Raw genomic sequence first — 24,555 nt, forward strand, 5'->3', positions numbered from 1 at the left:
ATATGCCTAAGAGTGCTCACAAAATCTAGGATAGTTGTACAGAAAATCTAGGGATTGGCCGGGCACGGTGGCTCACGCCTGTAATCCCAGCACTTTGGGAGGCCGAGGTGGGCGGATCATGAGGTCAGGAGATCGAGACCATCCTGGCTAACACAGTGAAACCCCGTCTCTACTAAAAAATACAAAAAATTAGCCAGGTGTGGTGGCAAGTGCCTGTAGTCCCAGCTACCCAGGAGGCTGAGGCAGGAGAATGGCATGAACCCGGGAGGCAGAGCTTGCAGTAAGCTGAGATCGCGCCACTGTACTCCAGCCTGGGCAACAGAGCAAGACTCCATCTGAAAAAAAAAAAAAAAAAGAAAGAAAAGAAAATCTAGGGATCCTGGGTGCCTGTTACATGGTCTAAAGGTAGGGTCAAGGCAAAGGCTCAAGTGAACATGTCCTGGTTCCACACATTCTTCCAGGTACAGACCTTCTAACATCCCATGGGGCCATACTGCCCCAAATCAAAATGTGTATTCTCTCAGGCACTTAGATACTTTTCAGAGTCATAAAACCTTTGTATTATTGATAGTCTCTGAAGCTTTGCTTAGCCATTAAAACATTTTAATTTTTTTTTTTTTTTTACTTCAGCCTATTCAGACACAAAAATCACACATTATTTGCTGTAACTCCACAGTGGTGATTTCTATAAGAAATGGGAATGTAATATTTAACATTTTTTTTTTTTTTCTAAAAAAGAAATTACTGGCTGGGTGAGGTGGCTCACATATGTGGTCCTGACACTTCAGGAGGCCAAGGCAAGAGGATCACTTGAGCCCAGGAGTTTGAGACCAGCCTGGGCGATATAGTGAGACCCCCCCCCCCGCCATCCCTACAAAGAAAAAATAATACTAAGCTGAGCTTGGTGGCATGCACCTGTAGTCCCAGCTACTTGGGAGGCTGAGGTGAGAGATCGCTTGAGCCTGAGAGATTGAGGCTCCAGTAAGCCGTGATCATGCCAATGTACTCCAGCCTGGACAACAGAGCAAGACCCTGTCTCAAAAAAATAATAAGAAGAATTTAAAAATAACTCATAACATGATTTATAAGTAGAAATTTAAATTTTTTTCAAGGATTAGCTTATATTTTTAAATCTTTTATTACTAGAATTAATGTCATGCATAAATATGTGTGTTTTTTTTCCATTCAGTTGCCTATAAATCATTTGTTGGACCTACTGTGAAGCATACTAAGATAAATTATTTAACTTCATTCTCAGGAGATGTGTACAGATTTCCCTCTTTATTTTTGTTATAACTATCATTTGACATGTTAGAAAATATAAAATAAATATATTGAAAAATAGAAATTGGCTGGGCGTGGTGGCTCACGCATAGAATCCCAGCACTTTGGGAGACCGAGGTGGGCAGATCACCTGAGGTCAGAAGTTAGAGACCAGCCTGACCAACATGGAGAAACCCCATCTCTACTAAAAATACAAAATTAACAGGGTGCGGTGGGGCATGCCTGTAATCCCAGCTACTGGGGAGGCTAAGGCAGGAGAATCGCTTGAACCCAGGAGGCGGAGGTTGCAGTGAGCTGAGATCGCGCCACTGCACTCCAGCCTGGGCAACAAGAGCGAAACTCCGTCTCAAAAGAAAAAAAGAAGAAAAAAGAAAAGTAGAAATTAAGGCCAAGCACGGTGGTTCATGCCTGTAATCCCAGCAGTTAGGGTGTCTGAGGTGGGCAGATTGCTTGTGCTCAGCAGTTTGAGACCAACCTGGGCAACATGGCGAAACACCATTTCTACCAAAAATATAAAAATTAGACTGGCGTGGTGGCGTGTGCCTGTAGTTCCAGCTACTCAGGAGGCTGAGGTGGGTGATGGCTTGAGCTTGGGAGGTGGAAGTTGCAGTGAGCCGTTATCACGCCACTGCACTTCAGCCTGGGTGACAGAGCCCCAGACCCTGTCTCAAAGGAAGAAAATATATATGTATATTCAAATAAAATATATAATCATTTGAAGCAAGAACGAATTTATTTGTAATTTATTAAACTTTATTTTTTAGAACTGATTTATATTTAGGCCCATTAAATTTATAGTTTAAATTTGTTACAGTAGGCTGGGCACTCAAGCCTGTAATCCCAGCACTTTGGGAGGCCAAGGCGGGCAGATCACTTAAAGTCAAAAGTTTGAGACCCAGCTTGGCCAGCACGGTGAAACCCCATCTCTACTAAAAATACAAAAATTAGCCTGGCAGCCAGTGCGGTGGCTCACGCCTATAATCCCAGCACTTTGGGAAGCCAAGGTGGGCAGATTACCTGAGGTCAGGAGTTTGAGACCAGCCTGGCCAACATGGTGAAACCCCATCTGTACTGAAAATACAAAAATTACCCAGGTATGATGGTGTGCGCCTGTAGTCCCAGCTACTTGGGAGGCTGAGGCACGAGAATCCCTTAAACCCGGGAGGTGGAGGTTGCAGTGAGTCAAGACTGCGCCATTGCACTCCAGCCTGGGTAACAAGAGCGAAACTCCGTCTCAAATAAATAAATAGCCTGGCATGGTGGCGTGCACCTGAAATCCCAGCTACTCAAGAGGCTGAGGCAGGAGAATCACTTGAACCTGGGAGGTGGAGGTTGCAGTGAGCCAGGATCATACCACTGCACTCCTCCTGGGCGACCTAGCGAGACTGCCTCAAAAAAAAAAAAAAAAAAAAATTGGCTGGGCACGGTGGCTCACACCTGTAATCCCAGCAATTTGGGAGGCCGAGGCGGGTGAATCACGAGGTCAGGAGTTCAAGACCAGCCTGGCCAAGATGGTGAAACCTTGTCTCTACTAAAAATACAAAAAAATTAGCTGGGAGTGGTGGCAGGCGCCTGTAATCCCAGCTACTCGGGAGGCTGAGGCAGAGAATTGCTTGAACCCAGGAGGTGGAGGTTGCAGTGAGCCGAGATCACGCCACTGCACTCCAGCCTGGGCAACAGAGCGAGACTCTGTCGCAAAAAAAAAGATGGGGTTTCACCATGTTGGTCAGGGTGGTCTTGAACTCCTGACCTCAAGTGATCACCCGCCTTGGCTTCCCAAAGTGCTGGGATTACAGACGTGAGCCACTACACATGGCCTGGTATTGTTTTGCTAAGTGATCACATGCTCCGCCCACTTGGAGATTGGAGAATTTAGAGGATAGAAATTTACCTCAACTAGAATTTCTGCTAAATAAATAATTAAATGATACTTTGTGACAAGATATTCTAATTAAAGAATTTAAGATACGAGGTTTTTAGGATGAGTAAATGTAGATAAATACATTAATCTTTTTTTTAATAGCAGCAGCTGGTGCTTTGAATGTAAATGTGAAGAAGGAAATATCTAGTCCAGCAAGACCTTGCTCTTTTGAAGAGGCCATGAAAGGTACCAAGTAAATTCTTCTCAAAAATCGTAATTGGGTGCTCCTGTATGTTTTCTCTAGCACACCTTACTATTTTGTTTTCTCTTAGGTACTTATAATACTTTGCAGGGTATCTTCATATTGTAAAATAAATATGTGTTTAACTTTACTAAATGTAGAGACTTGTTTTCCAATTTGATATTTTTCTTGCTGAATATGTTTTTATATATATATATATATATATTTTTTTTTTTAAGTATATTGGAGTGGAGGAGTTTTGTTTTTTTTTTTAATTACCCAATATTAAAAGTATATGAGGCTGGGCACAGTGGTTCATGCCTGTAATGCCAGCACTTTGGGAGGCCGAGTCAGGTAGATCATTTGAGGTCAGGACTTCAAGACCTGCCTGGCCAACATGGTGAAACCCTGTCTCTACTGAAAATACAAAAATTAGCCAGGGGTGGTGGCAGGTGCCCGTAGTCCCAGCTGCTCGGGAGGCTGAGTCAGGAGAATCTCTTTAATCTGGGAGGCAGGGGTTGCAGTGAGCCAAGGTCATGCCACTGTACTCCAGCCTGGGCGACAGAGCGAGACCCTGTCTTAAAAAAAAAAAAAAAGTGAAATAAGGCCAGGCACGGTGGGTCACACCTATAGTCCCAGCACTTTCAGAGGCCAAGGTAGGAAGATTACTTGAGTCCAGAAATTTGAGATGATAAATATCCATTGGCTAATAATTAAATGCATCATCTATAGTTATTGCTGAACAGATATGGGCAGCACAGTGAGAAGATTTCTTGTCTCTACAAAAAAATTAAAACAGGCCAGGCGCAGTGGCTCACGCCTGTAATCCCAGCACTTTAGGAGGCCAAGGTGGGCAGATAACCTGAGGTCAGGCATTTAAGACCAGAGTGACCAACATGGAGAAACCCATTCTCTACTAAAAATACAAAATTAGCCAGGCATGGTGGTGCATGCCTGTAATCCCAGCTACTTGGGAAGCTGAGGCAGAAGAATCGCTTGAACTCAGGAAGCAGAGGTTGCGGTGAGCCGAGATCGTGCCACCGCACTCCAGTCTGGGCAACAAGAGCAAAACTATCTCCAAAAAAGAAAGAAAGAAAAATAGGCCAGGCGCGGTGGCTCATGCCTTTAATATCAACACTTTGGGAGGCTGAGCTTGGCAGATCATCGGAGGTCAGGAGTTGGAGACCAGCCTGGTCAACATAGCGAAACCCCATCTCTACTAAAAATACAAAAAAAAATTAGCCTGGCATGGTGATGTGTGCCTGTAATCCCAGCTACTCTGGAGGCTGAGGCAAGAGAATCACTTGAACCTGGGAGGTGGAGGCTACAGTGAGCCAAGATTGTGCCACTGCTCTCCAGCCTGGGCAACAGAGCGGGACTCGGTCTCAAAAAAAAAAAATTAAAAACATTAACCGGGCATGGTGGCATGCACTTATCATCCTAGCTATTCATGAGACTGAGGTAGGAGGATTGCTTGATCTGAAGAGGTCGAAGGTGCATTGAGCTGTGATCGTACCACTGCACTCCAGCATGGGCAAAGGAACAAGGTTCTCAAAAACAAAACAAAGCAGAAATTTGGTTGGTTTATATACTTTTTTGATAAAAAATTTAAATCAGGCTGGGCACGGTGGCTCACACCTATAATTCCAGCACTTTGTGGGGCTGAGGTGATTGGATCACCTGAGGTCAGGAGTTTGAGACCAGCCTGGCCAACATGGTGAAACCTCATCTCTACTAAAAATACAAAATTTAGCTGGGCATGGTGGTGCGTGCCTGTAATCCCAGCTGCTTGGGAGATTGGGCAGAAGAATTGCTTGAACCCGGGAGGCGGGGATTGCAGTGAGCCGAGATCATGCCACTGCACTTCAGCCTGGGCGACACAGTAAAACTCCACCTCAAAAAATATATATAAATCACATATGAGAAATTGTTTGGTAGAGATTACTTGAGAAAAAATGCAAGTGTTGGATTGTAATGCATTGACACCAGCTTGATGTTCTTAGAGCAAATTAATTCTTAGGAGGAGAAAAAGATTAATCTGATATTTTCATTTATAATGTACTACTAAATTGAAGTTGACTAGAAGATTATTATTGAATTAACAAGATGGAACATATCTGACAAACTTAATGTCTGGCCTGGAGACATTTTGGACTGTTTTTGGTGGGACTAGACTTAAATAAAATTGGAACAAGGCCAGATGTGGTGACTCACACCTGTAATCCCAGCACTTTGGGAGGCCAAGCCAGTGGATCACCTGAGGTCAGGAGTTTGAGACCTACCTGGCCAACATGGCAAAACCCTGTCTCTACTAAAAATAAAAAAATTAGCTGGGCGTGGTGGTGTGTGCTTGTAATCCTAGCTAGTTGGGAGGCTGAGACAGGAGAATCGCTTGAATCCAGGAGGCGAAGGTTGTAGTGAGCCCAGATTGAGCCACTGCACTCCAGCTTGGGCAATAGAGCAAGACTCTGAAAAAAAAAAAAAAAAAAAGGATTGGAACATAAATAAAATTAACCTTTGTGACCTTTGTGCATATGGCCGTAGAAGGACTTGTGTCTTTGCATGAGCATTAGACTAAATGTCCTTTTACTGTTTGTCTTTACCAGTAGACATACTTGTCAGTGGTCAACTGAGGATAGGTAAAAGACTCTTGCTCAACTTTCTCTACCTAGTCTCACTTTCCAGAAAGGGGGAGAAGATAATAAGCATTACTATCTAAATACATTTTAAGAAAAATTGTAGATCTGTTAAGCAGTAAGTGTATAGGTGATATATTTATTTATATGTAATTTCTAATTGAATTATAATATAATCTTATCTGTAAACATGGACATTTTTAGATCAAAAATACTATTAATAAAAATATAAGCCAGGTACAGTGGCTAGTGCCTATAATCCCAACTACTCAGGAGACTGAGGTGGGAGGATCACTTAAACCCAGGAGTTTGGCCGGGCGCGGTGGCTCACGCCTGTAATCCCAGCACTTTGGGAGGCCGAGGCGGGTGGATCATGAGGTCAGGAGATCGAGACCATCCTGGCTAACAAGGTGAAACCCCGTCTCTACTAAAAATACAAAAAAAATTAGCCGGGCGCGGTGGCGGGCGCCTGTAGTCCCAGCTACTCGGGAGGCTGAGGCAGGAGAATGGCGTGAACCCGGGAAGCGGAGCTTGCAGTGAGCCGAGATTGCGCCACTGCAGTCCGCAGTCCCGCCTGGGCGACAGAGCGAGACTCCGTCTCAAAAAAAAAAAAAAAAAAAAAAAACCAGGAGTTTGAGGCTGCAGGTACTCACTCCAGCCTGGGTAACAGAGTGAGACCCTGTCTCTAATTGAATGAATGAGTGAGTAAATGAATGAATGAATGAATGAATATTTTTAAAAAGAAAAATACAGACTGTATATTTTTATTTTTATTTATTATTATTATTATTTGAGATGGAGTCTTGCTTTGTTGCCCAGGCTGGAATGCAGTGGCGTGGTCTCGGCTTACTGCAACCTCTGACCTCTGCCTCCTGGGTTCCAGAGGCTGAGGTAACAGGTGCCCTCTACCACACCTGGCTTTTTTTTATTTTTACTTTTTTTGTATTTTTAGTAGAGACGGGGTTTCACCATGTTGGTCAGGCTGGCGAACTCCTGACCTCGTGGTCCACCCACCTCTGCCTCCCAAATTGCTGGGATTACAGGCATGAGCCAATGCGCCTGGCCCATATTTTTATTTTTATAGGATTAACCAAACAATCCACAACAAACTAAATTGACAGTGATAAAGCTAAAGTAAGATTATTTTCTTCATTCATTCAGCAAACATTTGTTGATTACCTACTGTGCAACAGGTGATAACAACATCTGCCTTCACAGAGCTCATGATCTAATGGAATTCAAAAGCAAGAATAGTAGTTGACTATTACAGGATCAACTTAAGATAACACTAATGGTTTTTCAAAATGTTCTATGGGATATTCTTAGATTACTTTTAAATGCCTGCCCTGTGCATGATCTGAAGTTTTGTCTCAGTCAAAATTAGGTTGTAGGCCGAGTGTGGTGGCTCACGCCTATAATCCCAGCACTTTGGGCAGCCTAGTAGGGAGGATCACTTGAGCTCAGGAGTTCAAGACCAGCCTAGGCAAAGTAACGAGACTCTTGTCTCTACAAAAAAATTTTAAAAATTAGTCAGGCATGGTGGTGTGTGCCTGTAGTCCCAGCTACTTATGGGGCTGAGGTGGGAGGATTGCCTGAGCCCAGGAGGTGGAGGTTGCAGTGAGGCCTGATTGTACCACTGCACTCCCACCAACAGAGAGAGACCCTGTCTCAAATAAGATAAAATAAAATAAAAATCTGGTTGTTAGGGGAATTGTATTGGTATTAGAATTTAGGTGAAAATAGGTCCAAAGAACTCATGAATAAATGATTCATTTCTCAAACTACTTAGGTAGAATAATAAAACATGGAATGTCAAAAGTTAAATGAGCACTTTCCCCTCTGTCAAAATAATCAGTTTTCATAGGAATTAGGTTTTTAGCCAAATGGCTGTGAGGCAAGTTGAAGTAAGACAAGAAAATTGCAAATATTTTTAGATGAAAATATTTACTTTCAGCAGATTTTGAGACAGTCTTGCTCCGTTGCCCAGCCTGCAGTACAGTAGAGCGATCTCAGCTCATTGCAACCACCTCCTCCTGGATTCAAGCAATTCTTGTGCCTCAGCCTCCCAAGTAGCTGGGATTTACAGGCATGTGCCACCATGCCCTGCTAATTTTTGTATTTTTAGTAGAGACAGAGTTTCACCATGTTGGCCAGGCTGGTCTCGAACTGCTGGCCTCAAGTGAGCCACCTGCCTCGGCCTCCCAAAGTGCTGGGATTGCAGGCATGAGCCACCACACTTGGCCTTTCAGCAGCATATTGACTGACAACAACAACAAAAATTTATGAAGGGAGCGATCCAACTTATAGACCATGTGCCATTTTAAAAGCTTCTTTATAGCCAAGATTTCTTCTCGATATCAAATTAAGAAATTTAACAGCTATGCTTTCTGAAGACTGTTTCCATAGAGCTTCCAAGTGGTAGTAAACTTTTAAATCAGGATTTGGCTATGTGCTCAACTCAGAAGACTGTCATTAGCAATAGCAGTAGGTACCACTGAGTGCCACTGCGGACTCAAGTAGACAAAAAAGAAGAAAGAAAAGCAATCAAGGGGGAAAGGTAGATATAGTGAAGTGGTAGAATCTTGCTATATGTTGCCTCTAGGTATAAATCTAGAACTAACTACTCCTGAAAATGGAGGTAGTAGGAGGTGGGAAATAATTTTTCATTTTGCTTGGGAAATTTGGTTTGTAAACCTAAAATAGCCCTTATTTCTGGGGAAAAAAAAAAAGATGTTTAAAGTCCAGTCTAAAAGAGAATTGTGTCCATGTGTCAACTTGTCATATTCAAGTTTTCTAATTAATTTAGTTTTCTTTTAATTTAGAAAAGCAAAATTTATTAATCACTGGGTGGTATTTTCTAATGAGAAGCTTGAACTTAGTTTAAGAAAGAAGTGCTCTGACAATCTCATAGTCCTTAAGAAGTTCTGAGACTATATTGTCAGATAGCTAAATGCTAAGAGGAGAGTGTAGTTTGTAATTGAGTAGCTTTATCCTCCTGGAGATTTTTAAGCTGTATCCTATAATATACTCTTGGTCAGGTTGGGTAGTATGATTCAAGGCACTTGGAACCGTCTTGGGGAATATAGCTTGGTAATTGAACTGCTTAAGCTTATTATTAATATTTAAGCTATAGTTCCAGGCCCATTCCAGAGGTCCCCCAGCCAATGCACTTCATAAAAGGGAAGATATATCTTAATATACCAGGTTTGTATCTCATGCTACCATTGTAGCATCAAAAAAATAGACATTTAAATCATGGCTAATAACAAATTTTAGAATGAAATAGTTGGTAAATTTTGTGATTTTAAACTTTTCTTTTTGTGTGTGTGTATATGCAGCAATGAAAACTACTGGATGTAATTTAGATAAGGTAAATATTATCCCTAATGCCCTGATGACTCCACTCATACCAAGCAGTATGATTAAGAGTGAAGATGTTACTCCAATGGAAGTAACAGCAGAAAAAAGATCTTCCACTATTTTTAAGGTAAGCTGTATTGACTAGTGCACAAACCTCCTATATAAAAATTGCTGTCTTTTACTTTTCCTATTTTTTTAACATTATTTTTACTTTGGATGCACTTAATGAATTTTGCTGTAAAGAGGGAATGCTTTATACTTCAGCAAAATTGCCCACATAGTGACTTCCAATATACAAGGGAGGAATTAATATGTTGTATGAGATATTGATGAAAGTACTAATTTTAGCATTTTCAGAATTAGAGATGTTTTTATTTTTTTCCCAGTCTTTTCCCATAACTTTCTGTTTCTTTTTTTTACTTGTCTTATCCCCTGTAATGTTACTGAGGAGCCACAAAATTGAGATATTTTGATACCTGCTCTTCATGAACCATAAAATTACTGTGTTCTGATTACCCTTAATTCACCTAAGCATATCAATAGCCGATTATTCTACTTCCTTGTTTGACTATCTTTGCTTGTCGTACTTTTAAAAAATATATCTCAAGGAAAATGAGACATCATGTTATGGAGAATTGTAGTCCTGTACCTGTTTTCTAAATGATAATAATATAGAGTGGAAAGCTGGTCCTGCATATATTTTTAGAGCAATAGTGATTTTTGATGTATGTTACAAACTTGTTTAATGTTTATATATTCATAATATTTGGGGATTTTTATTTTTTAGACTACAAAGTCTGTTGGATCAACTCAGCAAACATTAGAAAACATCTCAAACATAGCAGGAAATGGCTCTTTTTCATCACCATCATCTTCCCACCTACCTTCTGAAAATGAAAAACAGCAGCAGATTCAGCCCAAGGCATACAACCCAGAGACCCTGACAACTATTCAAACCCAGGACATCTCACAGCCTGGTACTTTTCCAGCAGTTTCTGCTTCTAGTCAGCTGCCCAACAGCGATGCACTATTGCAGCAGGCTACACAGTTTCAGACAAGAGAAACTCAGTCTAGAGAGATATTACAGTCAGATGGTACAGTGGTTAATTTGTCACAACTGACTGAGGCATCACAACAACAGCAGCAGTCACCACTACAAGAACAAGCACAGACTTTACAGCAGCAGATTTCATCAAATATTTTTCCATCACCAAATAGTGTGAGTCAGCTTCAGAATACTATTCAGCAGCTGCAAGCAGGGAGTTTCACAGGCAGTACTGCTAGTGGCAGCAGTGGAAGTGTTGACTTGGTCCAACAAGTTTTAGAGGCACAGCAGCAGTTATCTTCAGTTTTATTTTCTGCTCCAGATGGTAATGAGAATGTTCAAGAGCAGCTTAGTGCAGATATTTTTCAACAAGTCAGTCAAATTCAGAGTGGTGTAAGCCCTGGAATGTTTTCCTCAACAGAGCCAACAGTCCATACCAGACCAGATAATTTATTACCTGGAAGAGCTGAAAGTGTTCATCCACAGTCTGAAAACACGTTATCTAATCAACAGCAGCAGCAGCAGCAGCAACAGCAAGTGATGGAATCTTCAGCCGCAATGGTGATGGAGATGCAACAGAGTATCTGCCAGGCAGCTGCCCAGATTCAGTCAGAGTTATTCCCTTCAACTGCTTCAGCAAATGGAAACCTTCAGCAATCGCCAGTTTACCAGCAGACTTCTCACATGATGAGTGCATTGTCTACCAATGAGGATATGCAAATGCAGTGTGAATTGTTTTCTTCTCCTCCTGCAGTTTCTGGAAATGAAACTTCTACAACTACCACACAGCAGGTTGCAACCCCTGGCACTACCATGTTTCAGACATCAAGTTCAGGAGATGGAGAAGAAACTGGAACACAAGCAAAACAGATTCAGAACAGTGTCTTTCAGACCATGGTCCAAATGCAACATAGTGGGGACAATCAACCTCAAGTTAACCTTTTTTCATCCACAAAAAGTATGATGAGTGTTCAGAATAGTGGTACCCAACAACAAGGTAATGGTTTATTCCAGCAAGGGAATGAGATGATGTCACTTCAATCTGGAAATTTTTTGCAGCAGTCTTCTCATTCACAGGCCCAACTTTTTCATCCTCAAAATCCTATTGCCGATGCTCAGAACCTTTCCCAGGAAACTCAAGGTTCTCTCTTTCATAGTCCAAATCCTATTGTCCACAGTCAGACTTCTACAACCTCCTCTGAACAAATGCAGCCTCCAATGTTTCACTCTCAAAGTACCATTGCTGTGTTACAGGGCTCTTCAGTTCCTCAAGACCAGCAGTCAACCAACATATTTCTTTCCCAGAGTCCCATGAATAATCTTCAGACTAACACAGTAGCCCAAGAAGCATTTTTTGCAGCACCGAACTCAATTTCTCCACTTCAGTCAACATCAAACAGTGAACAACAAGCTGCTTTCCAACAGCAAGCTCCAATATCACACATCCAGACTCCTATGCTTTCCCAAGAACAGGCACAACCCCCGCAGCAGGGTTTATTTCAGCCTCAGGTGGCCCTGGGCTCCCTTCCACCTAATCCAATGCCTCAAAGCCAACAAGGAACCATGTTCCAGTCACAGCACTCAATAGTTGCCATGCAGAGTAACTCTCCATCCCAGGAACAGCAGCAGCAGCAGCAACAGCAGCAGCAACAGCAGCAGCAACAACAACAGAGCATTTTATTCAGTAATCAGAATACCATGGCTACAATGGCGTCTCCAAAGCAACCACCACCAAACATGATATTCAACCCAAATCAAAATCCAATGGCTAATCAGGAGCAACAGAACCAGTCAATTTTTCACCAACAAAGTAACATGGCCCCAATGAATCAAGAGCAACAGCCCATGCAATTTCAGAGTCAGTCCACAGTTTCCTCACTTCAGAACCCAGGTCCTACCCAGTCGGAATCATCACAGACCCCCTTGTTCCATAGCTCTCCTCAGATTCAGTTGGTACAAGGGTCACCTAGTTCTCAAGAGCAGCAAGTAACTCTCTTCTTATCTCCAGCATCCATGTCTGCCTTGCAGACCAGTATAAATCAACAAGATATGCAACAGTCTCCTCTTTATTCCCCTCAGAACAACATGCCTGGAATTCAAGGAGCCACATCTTCGCCTCAACCACAGGCTACTTTATTTCACAACACAGCAGGAGGCACAATGAACCAACTGCAGAATTCTCCTGGCTCATCTCAGCAGACATCAGGAATGTTCTTATTTGGCATTCAAAATAGTAAGAAACTCTAATTTTTCATTACTTAATTGGTCATTATTATTATTAGAAGGAAGCAGAGTGCAGTGGTGCGATCTCAGCTCACTGCACCTGCACCCTCTGCCTCCCAGGTTCAGGTGATTCTCCTGCCTCAGCCTCCCAAGCAGCTGGGATTACAGGTGTGCACAACCACGCCCAGCTAATTTTTGTATTTTTGTTAGAGGCGGGGTTTCACCATGTTGGCCAGGCTGGTGTTGAATTTTTGACCTCAAGTGATCCGCTGGCCTCGGCCTCCCAAAGTGCTGGGATTACAGGCGTGAGCCACCACACCTGTCCTGTATAGTTGTTTTAAGAGTACAGATTGTAGTTAGAACTCTATCACCTATAGACTATAAGATCTTGTACAAGTTATTTGGCTTTTATGGGTCTCAATTCTCTCATTTAAAATGGTGATAATATTACATACTTTACATGGATTTGGGGAGGATTAAATATGGCAATGTATAAAAATGTGTGTTTGCCATTTTAAGCTATAAACTTAAAAGGAAAATGAAGTCAGAATGACAGATAATACCTTACCCAGTTGAAGTAAGTAGTTTCTAAGGAGGTAGAAACTCATCTTTAATGTTTATATACCAAGGAATTTATATAGGACTTTTGATATTTAAGCAAAGTTGTATTTTTAGACTGCTTAAAGGAAACCTAAGATGAATTCCAGTGCCAGTCTGTGAAAACCTTTTTCTTGGACTATCAGGTGCCTAACTTTTAGTAATATACAAGGAGAATGCAGTAATGAATTTTCCCCAACAACTAATAAATATCTTTTCATGAATCTTTACTAATCAGATAGCTTCTATTTTTAATGTTTCTGCAGACTGTAGTCAGCTTTTAAGCTTCTGTTTTCAATGTCTCTGCAGACTGTAGTCAGCTTTTAACCTCTGGACCAGCTACATTGCCTGATCAGTTGATGGCCATAAGTCAGCCAGGCCAACCACAAAACGAGGGCCAGCCACCTGTGACAACACTTCTTTCTCAGCAAATGCCAGAGAATTCTCCACTGGCATCCTCTATAAACACCAACCAGAACATCGAAAAGATTGATTTGCTTGTTTCATTGCAAAACCAAGGGAACAACTTGACTGGCTCCTTTTAACTGGATATGTAAGTATTGCATTTTGGCTTCTTATTGAAAAGCATCAGATTTTATTCTTCTTAACAGATTTAGGTTAAGTAATAGTAGTTCTAATCTTTTAAAATGTGGCTTTCTCACAAGATGATACTTTTTTACTCTGAATAAAATTATTCTGAATGATAGCTTATGGTCATATAGTTAATACAGACCAGGCCGGGCGTGGTGGCTCATGCCTGTAATCCCAGCACTTTGAGAGACCAAGGTGGGCGGATCACGAGGTCAGGCGATCGAGACCATCCTGGCTAACATGGTGAAACCCCGTCTCTACTAAAAAATACAAAAAAAAAAAAAAATACAGACCAAACATCCCTAGTCCAAAAATCCAAAATCCAAAATGCTCTGAAATCCGAATCTTTTTGAGTGCTGACATGACATCTCAAGTGGAAAATTCCACACCTAACCTCATATGATAGGGTCATAGTCAAAAGTCAGGCTCACAACATGCAGTTTATTTGGTGTCCCCAAGGGTAAAAAAGATCCTTCCAGCTCCCTTCAGCTGTGATAGATTTTTTTAGGTGTATGTGAAACAGAAGTGAATTTCATGTTTGGACTTGTGTCTTATCCCCAAGATATCTCATTGTGTATATGTGCATATTCCAAAATCCAAAAAAGAAATCAGAAACACTTCTGATCCCAAACATTTTAGATAAGGGATACTCAACCTATATTGGACATTCCTTCTGCCTCTGAGCTTCTTTGCCTTGGAATAACAAAACATCTGATGAGTATGCAAAATGTGTTTCCTTTGTACTATATATTGGATATAACCATGCCTCACTTATCCCTTCCTCCAGAAATAAATATTGAGTCAGAAAAGTCTGTGGAAGATCAAATATGATAAAGTTTTACTTACAGTACCATAATATACTTTAGGATCATTCAGGGTGTCAGAAACTTTATAAATGCTTCCCTCCCTAGTAAGTTAAATTAAACTTTTTCTCTTTTTTAGAAATTCCACGAAGAAAATCCTGATTCCAAGATGTCCTGAGATCTTGTGGTTCCATGAGAATTATTACTTTAAAAACAAAACAAAATATAAAAAACTGTGTTTGAGTAAACTGATAGATTTTACTCTGACTGCAAAAGAGCACACCTATGCTGCTTGTTGCAGTAACTAACCACCAATGTTAACATCTTCATATTTTATATTCCTAATAACAGTGATGACTGAGAATCTATTTGAGTTTCCAGCTGGCAGAATTAATTGTTATTATTTTCCTAGGCGCAATTTCCTTAAACGTACAGTTTAAATTCAAGGCTGGACCACTCAGTTATTATTGCTATTAGAAAATAATATATCATGTTTACTTTTGTTCTTCATTATTTTCTTTCCTGCATTGTTTTAGTCAAGTAATGGCTTTTGAAAAAGTAAAGTTCAATAATAACTAAGGCTGTGATTTTTTTCAATATAAAAGGCACAGCTGTTGGCCAAAGTGAAGGAATCTTTTTTCAGTTTTATTGGAGAAACTGAAGGGTAACATTCTAACAAGTAAACTGTATGTGCAGATAAAAGTACTCTTGATTTAACACAAAGGCAGATGATACACTTATAAAACTGGGAACAGCTGGAATGCTTCTTGATTTTATTTTTTCAGAGAGTTGTTAGTTCTCTGGGTTTCTACTAAGGGGTTTAGCCATAACTGTGCATAGAAAAATAATTATCTGTAAAAAATGAAGGGGATAATATATGATAAATTATGTTCTGATATCCTCCTACAGTAGTTTAAATTGACAGAAAAATTTGAATGTTTTCTTCTTAACCCAGTCTTAGGCTGGTATTCCCTTTTTATATATATCTATATTACTTTTCACCTCTTTTTCACTTTACTTTAGAGAACTATTAATATACTACTGGCTTCATGACCCTGTAGCATCTTTGGCCACTTTAATCTAGGGTGACCTAGCAATCCTGCAGCACAGGGCAGAGAGTACTGTCTTAGGAATTATTAGGAGTTGATTCCTGAGAAACAACACATTTTTCCCCATGAACGGTGCTGTTCTGAAGTCTTCAAATTTTTCCCTCTAATAGGAAACAGTATAAATTTTAATTAAAAAAAAAAGGCAAACTAAAATTTCTTGAAATATCACTTCTCCCTGATCTGCAGTGAGTATAAATTCACTTGTCACCTCAGTGCTTTACAGTTTGAAGTGGTCACTTACCTGATGGTTCCCACAAGCCTTAGGCTTTACAGGGTTGTATCATTGACTTAAAATGAAGAATTAACTTGTGTTACATCTATAAAGAGCAAAATAACACACTCCAGAACTTGGCAGTTGTAGCATTAGTTATACAGTTTTGGGTGTTCTTGCCACCCGTGGGATGCCTGCTTCTCACTACCACCTGTGTCTGGACACATGCTTATGTCTCATTTTCCTTTTGGCATGTGGAAAGCTGTCAATGCAGTGTAAGGCCAACGTGTGTGTGGCTTCTATGTGTTGAGATAATGTTTTGGTATCCTTGTCCGTTTCATTTATTTTTTAAGTGTACAAAAAATAACCTGTTAATTGTTGAAGGCTACTTTTCTGTTCTTTTTTTTTTTTTTTTTCTATCCTGTACATTTAGTTGAACTGTGCGGAATTGTGGTGTTGGTTTTGTTTACACAGCCAGATTTTTCCTTCTTTTTGTTTTGTGATGATCTTCCTTTGTTCTTTGAATGTGCTCTTTTGTCTTTTTCTCTTTTTTCTCATGTTTTCTTCCCTCCACCTCCACCCCTTTCTTTCTTTCTCTCTCTGATTGAGAGGCATTGAATTACGTTTTCAGTAGTACAGGCTTCTTGCCGATATGAAGGGAACTTTTCAGAAAGAGACCTACTCTGGGTCATTTAATTTTGAATACAGTTTTCAATCGTTCAAGTTTTGGATGGTTTATATCTAATGTGTGTTTCATTTTTTTGGAAAGCTATATTTTGTATTTAGGAAATGGTATACTATTTTGCTATTTGTACTGAGTGAGTACATTGGCATAAATATAGAAATTTATATATATACATATATATAAACTATTCTTTTTTGCCACACATTTTTGTGGTAAATTTGTGAGTTTGTCTGATGTTCTACCACAACGTGGCGTCTGATAACAGTGAGGGGGGGTGGGGTTTGTTATGTCTTTATTGAGTATTTAAGTATCTTTTGAAACAAATGACCTGTTCATCTGTGGCCATTCCATCAGGCAGTTAGTTCCTTGATGTCAGTAGTGGGCTAAAGGCAGCTTACTGTGTGTTTGCTGGAGCTTTCACTCAGCCAAGTGTTAGAGTCAGGAAACCCATTGAGGCAATGGCGTCAAATGGTGTTTCACAAGAATGAGCCATTCAGTCTTTGCTCACTATATATTTAATATTTTATTATTGTTGTTATTGTTATTATTAATTGGCTTTCTGTATTCTATGCCTTTTATTTATAAAGACACTAAGAAAACCCATGTTTGTAATTTTAATAACATTTTTCCCATCTTGTAATATCCAGAGCTACTTTATAAATTCTCTGAACCAAAAGTATTTTCCTCAGTGTATCTCTTCTCCCCCAGCCCCTATTGGGAAAAATTACCCAGTATAGTTCAGGTTATGAGGAGGATCAGCCACACAATCCAGTGCTTCAGTTTGAAAATGTAAAATTCTAACCCTAAAGTAGGGTTGGTTGAAATTTCAGACAAAGCAAACCCAGCAGGTATAAAAAGTAGTATAAATACAAATCTGTAAGTTATTTTTGAATTTTCTGAACTTTTTTCTAAGAGATTACATAGGAGACTAAAGAAATCTATCTGTTCAAGTTCTAATTAGGATGATTGTTAATACTGCACTGTGGATGAAGTGGCGACTGGCTTGTGTGCTGACTTCTGTGGTTTAGCAAGAGGTTTATTGTTATCAAATGCTAATTGGCAATGCCAAGTCACTGGGACCAATTTTCTGTTTTATAATATCTAAGTTTAGAACAGAATATATACCTGAACTGTAGTGGTTTGATCGGATGGAGACAGAAAACCCGATTTTTATTCTCATAAATTTTGTGGTTATTTATACAAGGGCTGTGCTATGCTACCATATTCTTGTTCAATAATAATAGGTTTGTTGTTTTTTTTACATTGTTAAATGTTCCTTACCCCTAAAGGTCAATGTTAAGTACAACATTCTGAAAATACAATTTGGCTACGAAGAGTATTCATCTTCTTTGAAGCTCAGTGGTTGATATTTGTGCTAATAATGCAATTTCCTGATTACTGTTACAAGTTATAGCTACATATGGGAGAGACTCAGTGAGCCAGCAAAGGCCATAGAAACAACAATTTATTAAATGTATTTATGGCAGAAGGACCTAAATAAACTGTGAGCCACCTTTTCTTCTTTATATTGTTACATTTAAGTGTTCTTGCTTTCAGCAACTCACATTAATGCTTGGAGCTTATCTCTTTCTCTCTCTCTCTCTCTCTCTCTGTGTGTGTGTGTGTATGTGTGTGTGTGTGTGTGTGTGTTTCCTTATTGTCATTCCATTATATATCCACACCAACATGGGTGACGATAATTCAAAGTCATATTTTGCCTCTAAGCTTGATCATGTTACCTTTATGATTAAAGTATCATGTTATTTAGCCAATGCAAATCTGTTTTAAAACAAATAGTTTAAAAAAAGAACAAGTTTTTAAGGGCTTTATTATAGAAGAAGTATTAATGAAGGACTTTCCTTCCTCCCTCCCTTTCCTCCCCTCCCTGCCTCCCTTCTTCCCTTCCATCTCCCCCTCCTCCCTGCCTTCTTTGTTTCTCCTTCCCTTATTCCTCCCTCCCTCCTTTCTCCCTTCCTTCCTTTCTTCCATTCATCCTTCCTTGCCTTTTATTTTTATTTTTTGTAATATCACATGTGCTGTAGTTTGGAATTTTATTCTAGTGCATTTCTTGCTCATCAGAACCTCAGCTAATCTACCTAGGAAAAATAGTATCAAAGGAAATGAGAAAGTTGTATCTGAGTCCCTCCAGAACTAAGATAATTCTTTTTGACCATTTAAGCCTTTATAAATGCGTTTTGACCATTTAAGCCTTTATAAATGCTTGTTTTAGGAAAGTGAATCTGTTAGATGCATCAACAAATAATGACCAGGACAAAACGATTTAATAATTAAAGTCTCAAATCACCATGGTTATACATTTTCACCAGAAATAGTAATCTTACAATTTTTCATTTTTCTGATGAAGATTTCTGTTCCAATATCTGTTTCCTAATAGATTTTTTAAATTAATTAGCTTTCCTCTGCTTTATGACCACAGGTTTTATCCCTAACCGAGACAGCTGTCTTATATCTGCATGCCTTAGACTGTGTGGAGGGACTCCATGAAGAAAGACCATAGGTTAGAAAAATAACTCATAGTATATACCCTAGTAAGTGGGTTAGTAGAATCTCATAACATGTATTAAAAAGAGGTTTTCTTCTCTGCTTGTTTGTGTCACTAGAGCAAAATTGTAGAGATAATGCTCATAATGCAGTAAATATCAGAATAATATCTACAATATCATTTGTGGATGGTCCCAGGTCCCAGTGCTCTAGTTACTTTACTTCTTTTTTTTTTTTTGAGATGGAGTCTTGCTCTGTCTCTCAGGCTAGAGCAGTGTGCGATCTCAGCTCACTGCAGCCTCCACCTCCCAGGTTCAAGCGATTCTCCTGCCTCAGCCTCCCAAGTAGCCAGGATTACAGGCACCCTCCACTAGGCCCGGCTAATTTTTTTTGTATTTTTTTAGTAGAGATGGGGTTTTGCCATGTTGGCCAGGCTGGTTTCGAACTCCTAACCTCCAGTGATCCACCTGCCTCGGCGTCCCAAAGTGCTAGGATTACAGGCATGAGCCACCACATCCGGCCTAATTACTTCTTTAATCCCCATTTATTTTTATGCCATTCTAGCCTCATTTATTAATAAAATTATGTTTTTACTTTCTCTTTCAGGAAATTTTTTAAATTAATATTTTATATCTAGATCTAATGCTATGGAAAAGTGCCTTTTTATCATTTATAATTTCATTTTTCACTATTTCCAAAAACACATAAACAAATAGTTTCAGTAGGTCCCAGCTTTTACTTTTTCCATTTAAACCTTCTTTTCTCCATTTCTTCCCTTTGGCTTAAGAATAAAAGAAAAGGTACATTGCTAGAATTGTTTCTTTGGGAGAGGGTAAAAGATTACAGAATTAGACTGTTCAGCCTTTATATAAACTAAATTTGTCTTCATCTCAACCAGCTAATGGTAGGTCTTATCTGAATACTCATGAGAATTTTAGCATCTGTGAAACTCCATGCACCAGATGTGTGTAAATTTCAGGAAGAAAGTGTTGAAAGCATTTTCTCTGATGTTAATTAGATGGAAATAAATCACTAAAACATAGTTTAGGTAAAGCCTGATTATGCCACTTTTTTTTAACTAGACAGGGCAAAGTTGTTTATGTTAGTGTACTTCTTGTCTATCCTCAGTTAATTTACCTAGACAAAAAGTGTCAAAGGAAATGAGAAAAAGGTTATATCTGACTCCCTCCAGACCTAAGATAATTCCTTTTGATCAGATACAGTCAGATGGAGTGCCTTGGTTTTTGTTAATTTTGCCTCTATTCCAGCTCCTTACCACAGCGGTGGTGCTTAAAGAAAGGATCATCAGCAACAGGTCAGGATAGTTCTACCTTTGGGATAGGGCTGCTTTCCCCGTGCTAGTATTTCTGTGACTGTTAGTGGCACTGAGGACTGCAAACTTTTATGCAATATTCTTAATACCCTATTGATATTATGCACTTTAATCATTCCAAAGAAGCCAAGAATGCTGTATAGTGATGATTCCTTCCTAATGAATTCATCTTAACTATTTAGAATGTTATGTCCCTTTTCTTTTGGATAGCCAACTTGGTATAAATGTTATATGGATTTTTCTAAAATGACTATATAGGACTTAAGACTTTGAAATGTAATTTACTTATAAGGGGAAATAATTATGCTTTAGCACATCATTTTAGAAACGTCACATTTTAGAAACATTCAGCTTGCTAACCTACATGTTTGGGAATTCATTAAAACCAGTTGTCTATATATTTTGTGCCATGTATATAAGAACATTACAATATATCTTTTTCTACATATGTAGTATGTGCAACCAGTGGTTCTCAGAGTATGGTTCTCAGCCCACCAGCTAGTATCAGTATCACCTGGGAACTAGTTAGAAATGTAAATTCTTTGGCCCCATCCCAGACATACTGAGTCAGAAACTCTGGAATAGGGCCCCCGCAATCTGTTTTCACAAGCCCTCCAGGTGATTCTGATGCACACTTTAAAGTTTAGGAACCACTGGGCTAAGACTCTGTTGAGATATAGAGTTTTTCTTCCACTCAGACTGATATAGTTATACATTGTTCTTCATGTAAATTCAGCTTAACCTGGTTATCTATAATCTTTTATTGGCAAAAGTTAATTCTCAGTACTGCCTATAGAGATACAGTGTATTTTATGTACATACACAATTAGTCTAATTCTTGATAATTCAGTTAATTTAGTTTGGCATTTTCCTACCACTTACTAAAAGGTTTACATTAAATGACTGATTTAAATATATAGGTGCAATGTTCTATGTTTATTTTAATTGTTATGACATTTAAGTAGCTAATATAATTGACCGGTGCTAAAGTCTCCTGTTTATCCATAAAATGGGTACATTATGGGCAGTGTAATACAAGCTTTCTTTTCATTGCCTAGTACTTTACCAGCAGACCACAGTTTTGCCCTGGCTAGACCAACCCTCAGAACAAAATCATCATTCCTTGTATTTATATTTGTATCTGAGATAGTAAACAAGATGGCTGGCCAGGTCAACATGGCACCTTAACTTATTTTTTTAATAGGTAAAACTTCTTCAAAAGTAGCTTGCTTTGTATAAGAACTAAGCTATCAGTATAGATATAGCTATCCTTGGAGCTTATGTTTCAGACAAGAATTATTTACTAAAATAAATAATAAACAAGATAATGCATTATACAATTTGGGCATTTCTCGTTTCTCAAGTGTATGCATCATGGTAAATATAAACTAACCACAAGATAGGTAGATTGATTCATTTCATTTTAATCTCCTTGTGTAATTCAGTACCTCCATAATTGTTCTAATCTTCTTCCCACTGTTTACAAATTACCAGTTAATTAACTCGTGAAAGAAAAATTCACATATCAGAATAAAAATAAATGTATACTCACTTTATAAAAATCACCACTGCTGTCTTTCCTTAATACTAGCAGTGGAAATGTAAGTGGCTTACTCTACAAATTTTGGTGCTGGCAAATACATAGGCAAACTGTTGGGAGCTGCTCTAGTTACATTCCTCCCTTCTTATTCCCTTTTTCTCTTCCTCACTTTATTGCATAACATATTCCTGTACCCAAAGCATTCTACCACAGTTCTATTTGACTCCCACTTGTAATAACTCCTTTAAAAAATTCCATGTTTAACCATATGACCCTGCTTGCTTACTCATATTCTCCCTCCCTCTCCCCTTCCTTTCTCTCTCTTCCAGAAGTCATTTGCCTGGTTTGAAATATTTTGTAGGGATTGCTTATTATATTATTTTAGCTGATGAACCTCAGGACAACGTCTACACACACACACATACATACACGCACACAAAATCTCAGCTGTTGAAGAGTGGGCTTGGAATCAGACTTCTGTGTCCAGTAAAAAACTCCTGCACTGAAGTCATTGTGACTTGAGTAGTTACAGACTGATTCCAGTGAACTTGATCTAATTTCTTTTGATCTAATGAATGTGTCTGCTTACCTTGTTTCCTTTTAATTGATAAGCTCCAAGTAGTTGCTAATTTTTTGACAACTTTAAATGAGTTTCATTCACTTCTTTTACTTAATGTTTTAAGTATAGTACCAATAATTTCATTAACCTGTTCTCAAGTGGTTTAGCTACCATTCTGCCATTTTTAATTTTTATTTAATTTTATTTGCTTGAGCACACTGATCAACCACTGAACTGCCTTCTTCCATTGTCCTGCAATGATATAAGGGTTACATTTTTGTGTATATGGCTTTCATAGTTGGGATTTCAGAGCACTGATACCAGATATTTTCAGTTTGTTCTCTGGGGGAATTTCATTTGCATCTATGTTTTTAGCTATCTGTGATAACTTGTTAAATATTAAAAAGATATTTTGCTTCTATTGGAACATTTGTATACTCGCAACTATATTTCTGTAAACAGCTGCAGTCAAAAATAAAACACTGAAAGTTTTCATTTTGCAGTGGATAGCTGTCTTTTTTTTCCTCAAACTTTGTGAATGGAATTGTGTGCATGAACGACAGTTTTGAGCAGCATGAGTATATGGCTGAAATTATAAAATCATTAGGGAGGAGGTGTGAAATATAGACATATTTCTGAGTAGTTATTTTGTGCCTACCATTTTGCCAGGTAGAGTATAAGTGACTCAGTGTGACAGAATTTTTGTTTTACGTATAATTTAAATGTTTCATGTTTAGTAAAGCAATACATATACACGGAGGTGCTTTTGATGAAAACCAAGTCTCCCCATCCCTTAGTCCCATGCCCAGAGACAATCTCTGTTTATTCTTTTGGTGTTATTTCTACATCTCTAAATTAGCGCATATCAGAGTGTGGTACACAACTACCCGTGGTACGTGGATAAACACTATTTTTAAACTTACATGTATAAGTGTTTTGATGCGTAATAGAAAAAAATATAGGCTGGGCTCAGCGGCTCACGCCTGTAATCCCAGCACTTTGGGAGGCTGAGGCAGGCAGATCACCTGAGGTCAGGAGTTCGAGACCAGCCTGGCCAACATAGTGAAACCCCATCTCTACTAAAAATACAAAAAATAGCTGGGCATAGTGGCGGGCACCTGTAATCCCAGCTACTTGGCAGACAGAGGCAGGAGAATCGTTTGAACCCGGGAGACGGAGGTTGCAGTGAGCAGAGATCGCACCATTGCACTCCAGCCTGGGCAACGGGGCGAGACTCTGTCTAAAAAATAAAAAAATAATAATGTGTCTACCTACCAGAGTGAGGGAAAAAGTGAGTCAAATTAAAGAAAAATATTAAATCACTGGGCTCAGTGGCTCATGCCTCTGTAATCCCAGCTACTCGGGAGGCTAAGACAGGAGGATCACTTGAGGCCAGGAGTTGGAGACCAGCCTGAGCAACATAGCAAGACCCTGTCTCTATTTTTTTTTTTTTGATGTTTAAATGAAAGGAAAAAGGAAGAAAAATATTTTTTAAAAAAATGCTAATACAGATACATGGGTGTCATGAATATGGTATCTAATTGAATCGTAAAAGACATTGCTTTAGACAGCATACTTATACCTTCCTATCAAATATAGACAGTATCTGTTGATTCTGTAAAGGAGTAACAATTCTTAATACATCCAAATCTATATATATATATCTAAATGAGTTGTTAGGAGATTTTATATATATATATACATATATATAAAATTTATTATTATTTTTTAAACAATCCTTCTGTTCTAAATACAGTATGCCTTGCCAAGCATGGTGGCTCATGCCTGTAATCCCAACACTTTGGGAGGTCGAGGCAGGAGGACCACTTGAGCCAGCCCGGGAGTTCAAGACCAGCCTGGGCAACAAAGTGAGACTTCGTATCTACAAAACATAAAATAATTAGCCAGGCATGTTGGCATGCGCCCATAGTCCCAGCTATTCAGGCGGCTAAGGTGAGAGGATCACTTAAGTCCA

At 39.2% G+C, this 24,555-nt stretch overlaps 1 protein-coding gene across 18 annotated transcripts in view, besides 1 other annotated feature; it reads left to right on the forward strand.

The window, feature by feature from the left end:
* NFAT5 (nuclear factor of activated T cells 5) overlaps positions 1-23,075 on the forward strand; it is a 138,689-nt gene extending 115,614 nt beyond the window's left edge. For 11 of the 18 annotated variants that reach the window (NM_138714.4, NM_138713.4, NM_173214.3 and 8 more), the window contains 5 exons: positions 3,308-3,391; positions 9,361-9,509; positions 10,170-12,660; positions 13,557-13,800; positions 14,781-23,075. In NM_138714.4, the coding sequence (NP_619728.2) occupies positions 3,308-3,391; positions 9,361-9,509; positions 10,170-12,660; positions 13,557-13,792 (2,960 nt within the window). In that variant the 3' untranslated portion in view covers positions 13,793-13,800; positions 14,781-23,075. Of the gene's footprint in view, positions 1-3,307; positions 3,392-9,360; positions 9,510-10,169; positions 12,661-13,513; positions 14,125-14,780 lie in introns of those variants that run through there. The other 7 variants (NM_001113178.3, XM_011522817.4, NM_001367709.1 and 4 more) reach the window with 3 other exon arrangements.
* Positions 5,474-5,674: a silencer, noted in NCBI's record as "peak2631 fragment used in MPRA reporter construct". NCBI's record gives its function as "represses an SCP1 promoter by STARR-seq MPRAs in K562 erythroleukemia cells {active_cell/tissue: K562}" and the evidence as "EXISTENCE:reporter gene assay evidence [ECO:0000049][PMID:32103011]".

The sequence above is a fragment of the Homo sapiens genome, chromosome 16, assembly GCF_000001405.40.
Source record: "Homo sapiens chromosome 16, GRCh38.p14 Primary Assembly".
NCBI lineage: Eukaryota > Metazoa > Chordata > Mammalia > Primates > Hominidae > Homo > Homo sapiens.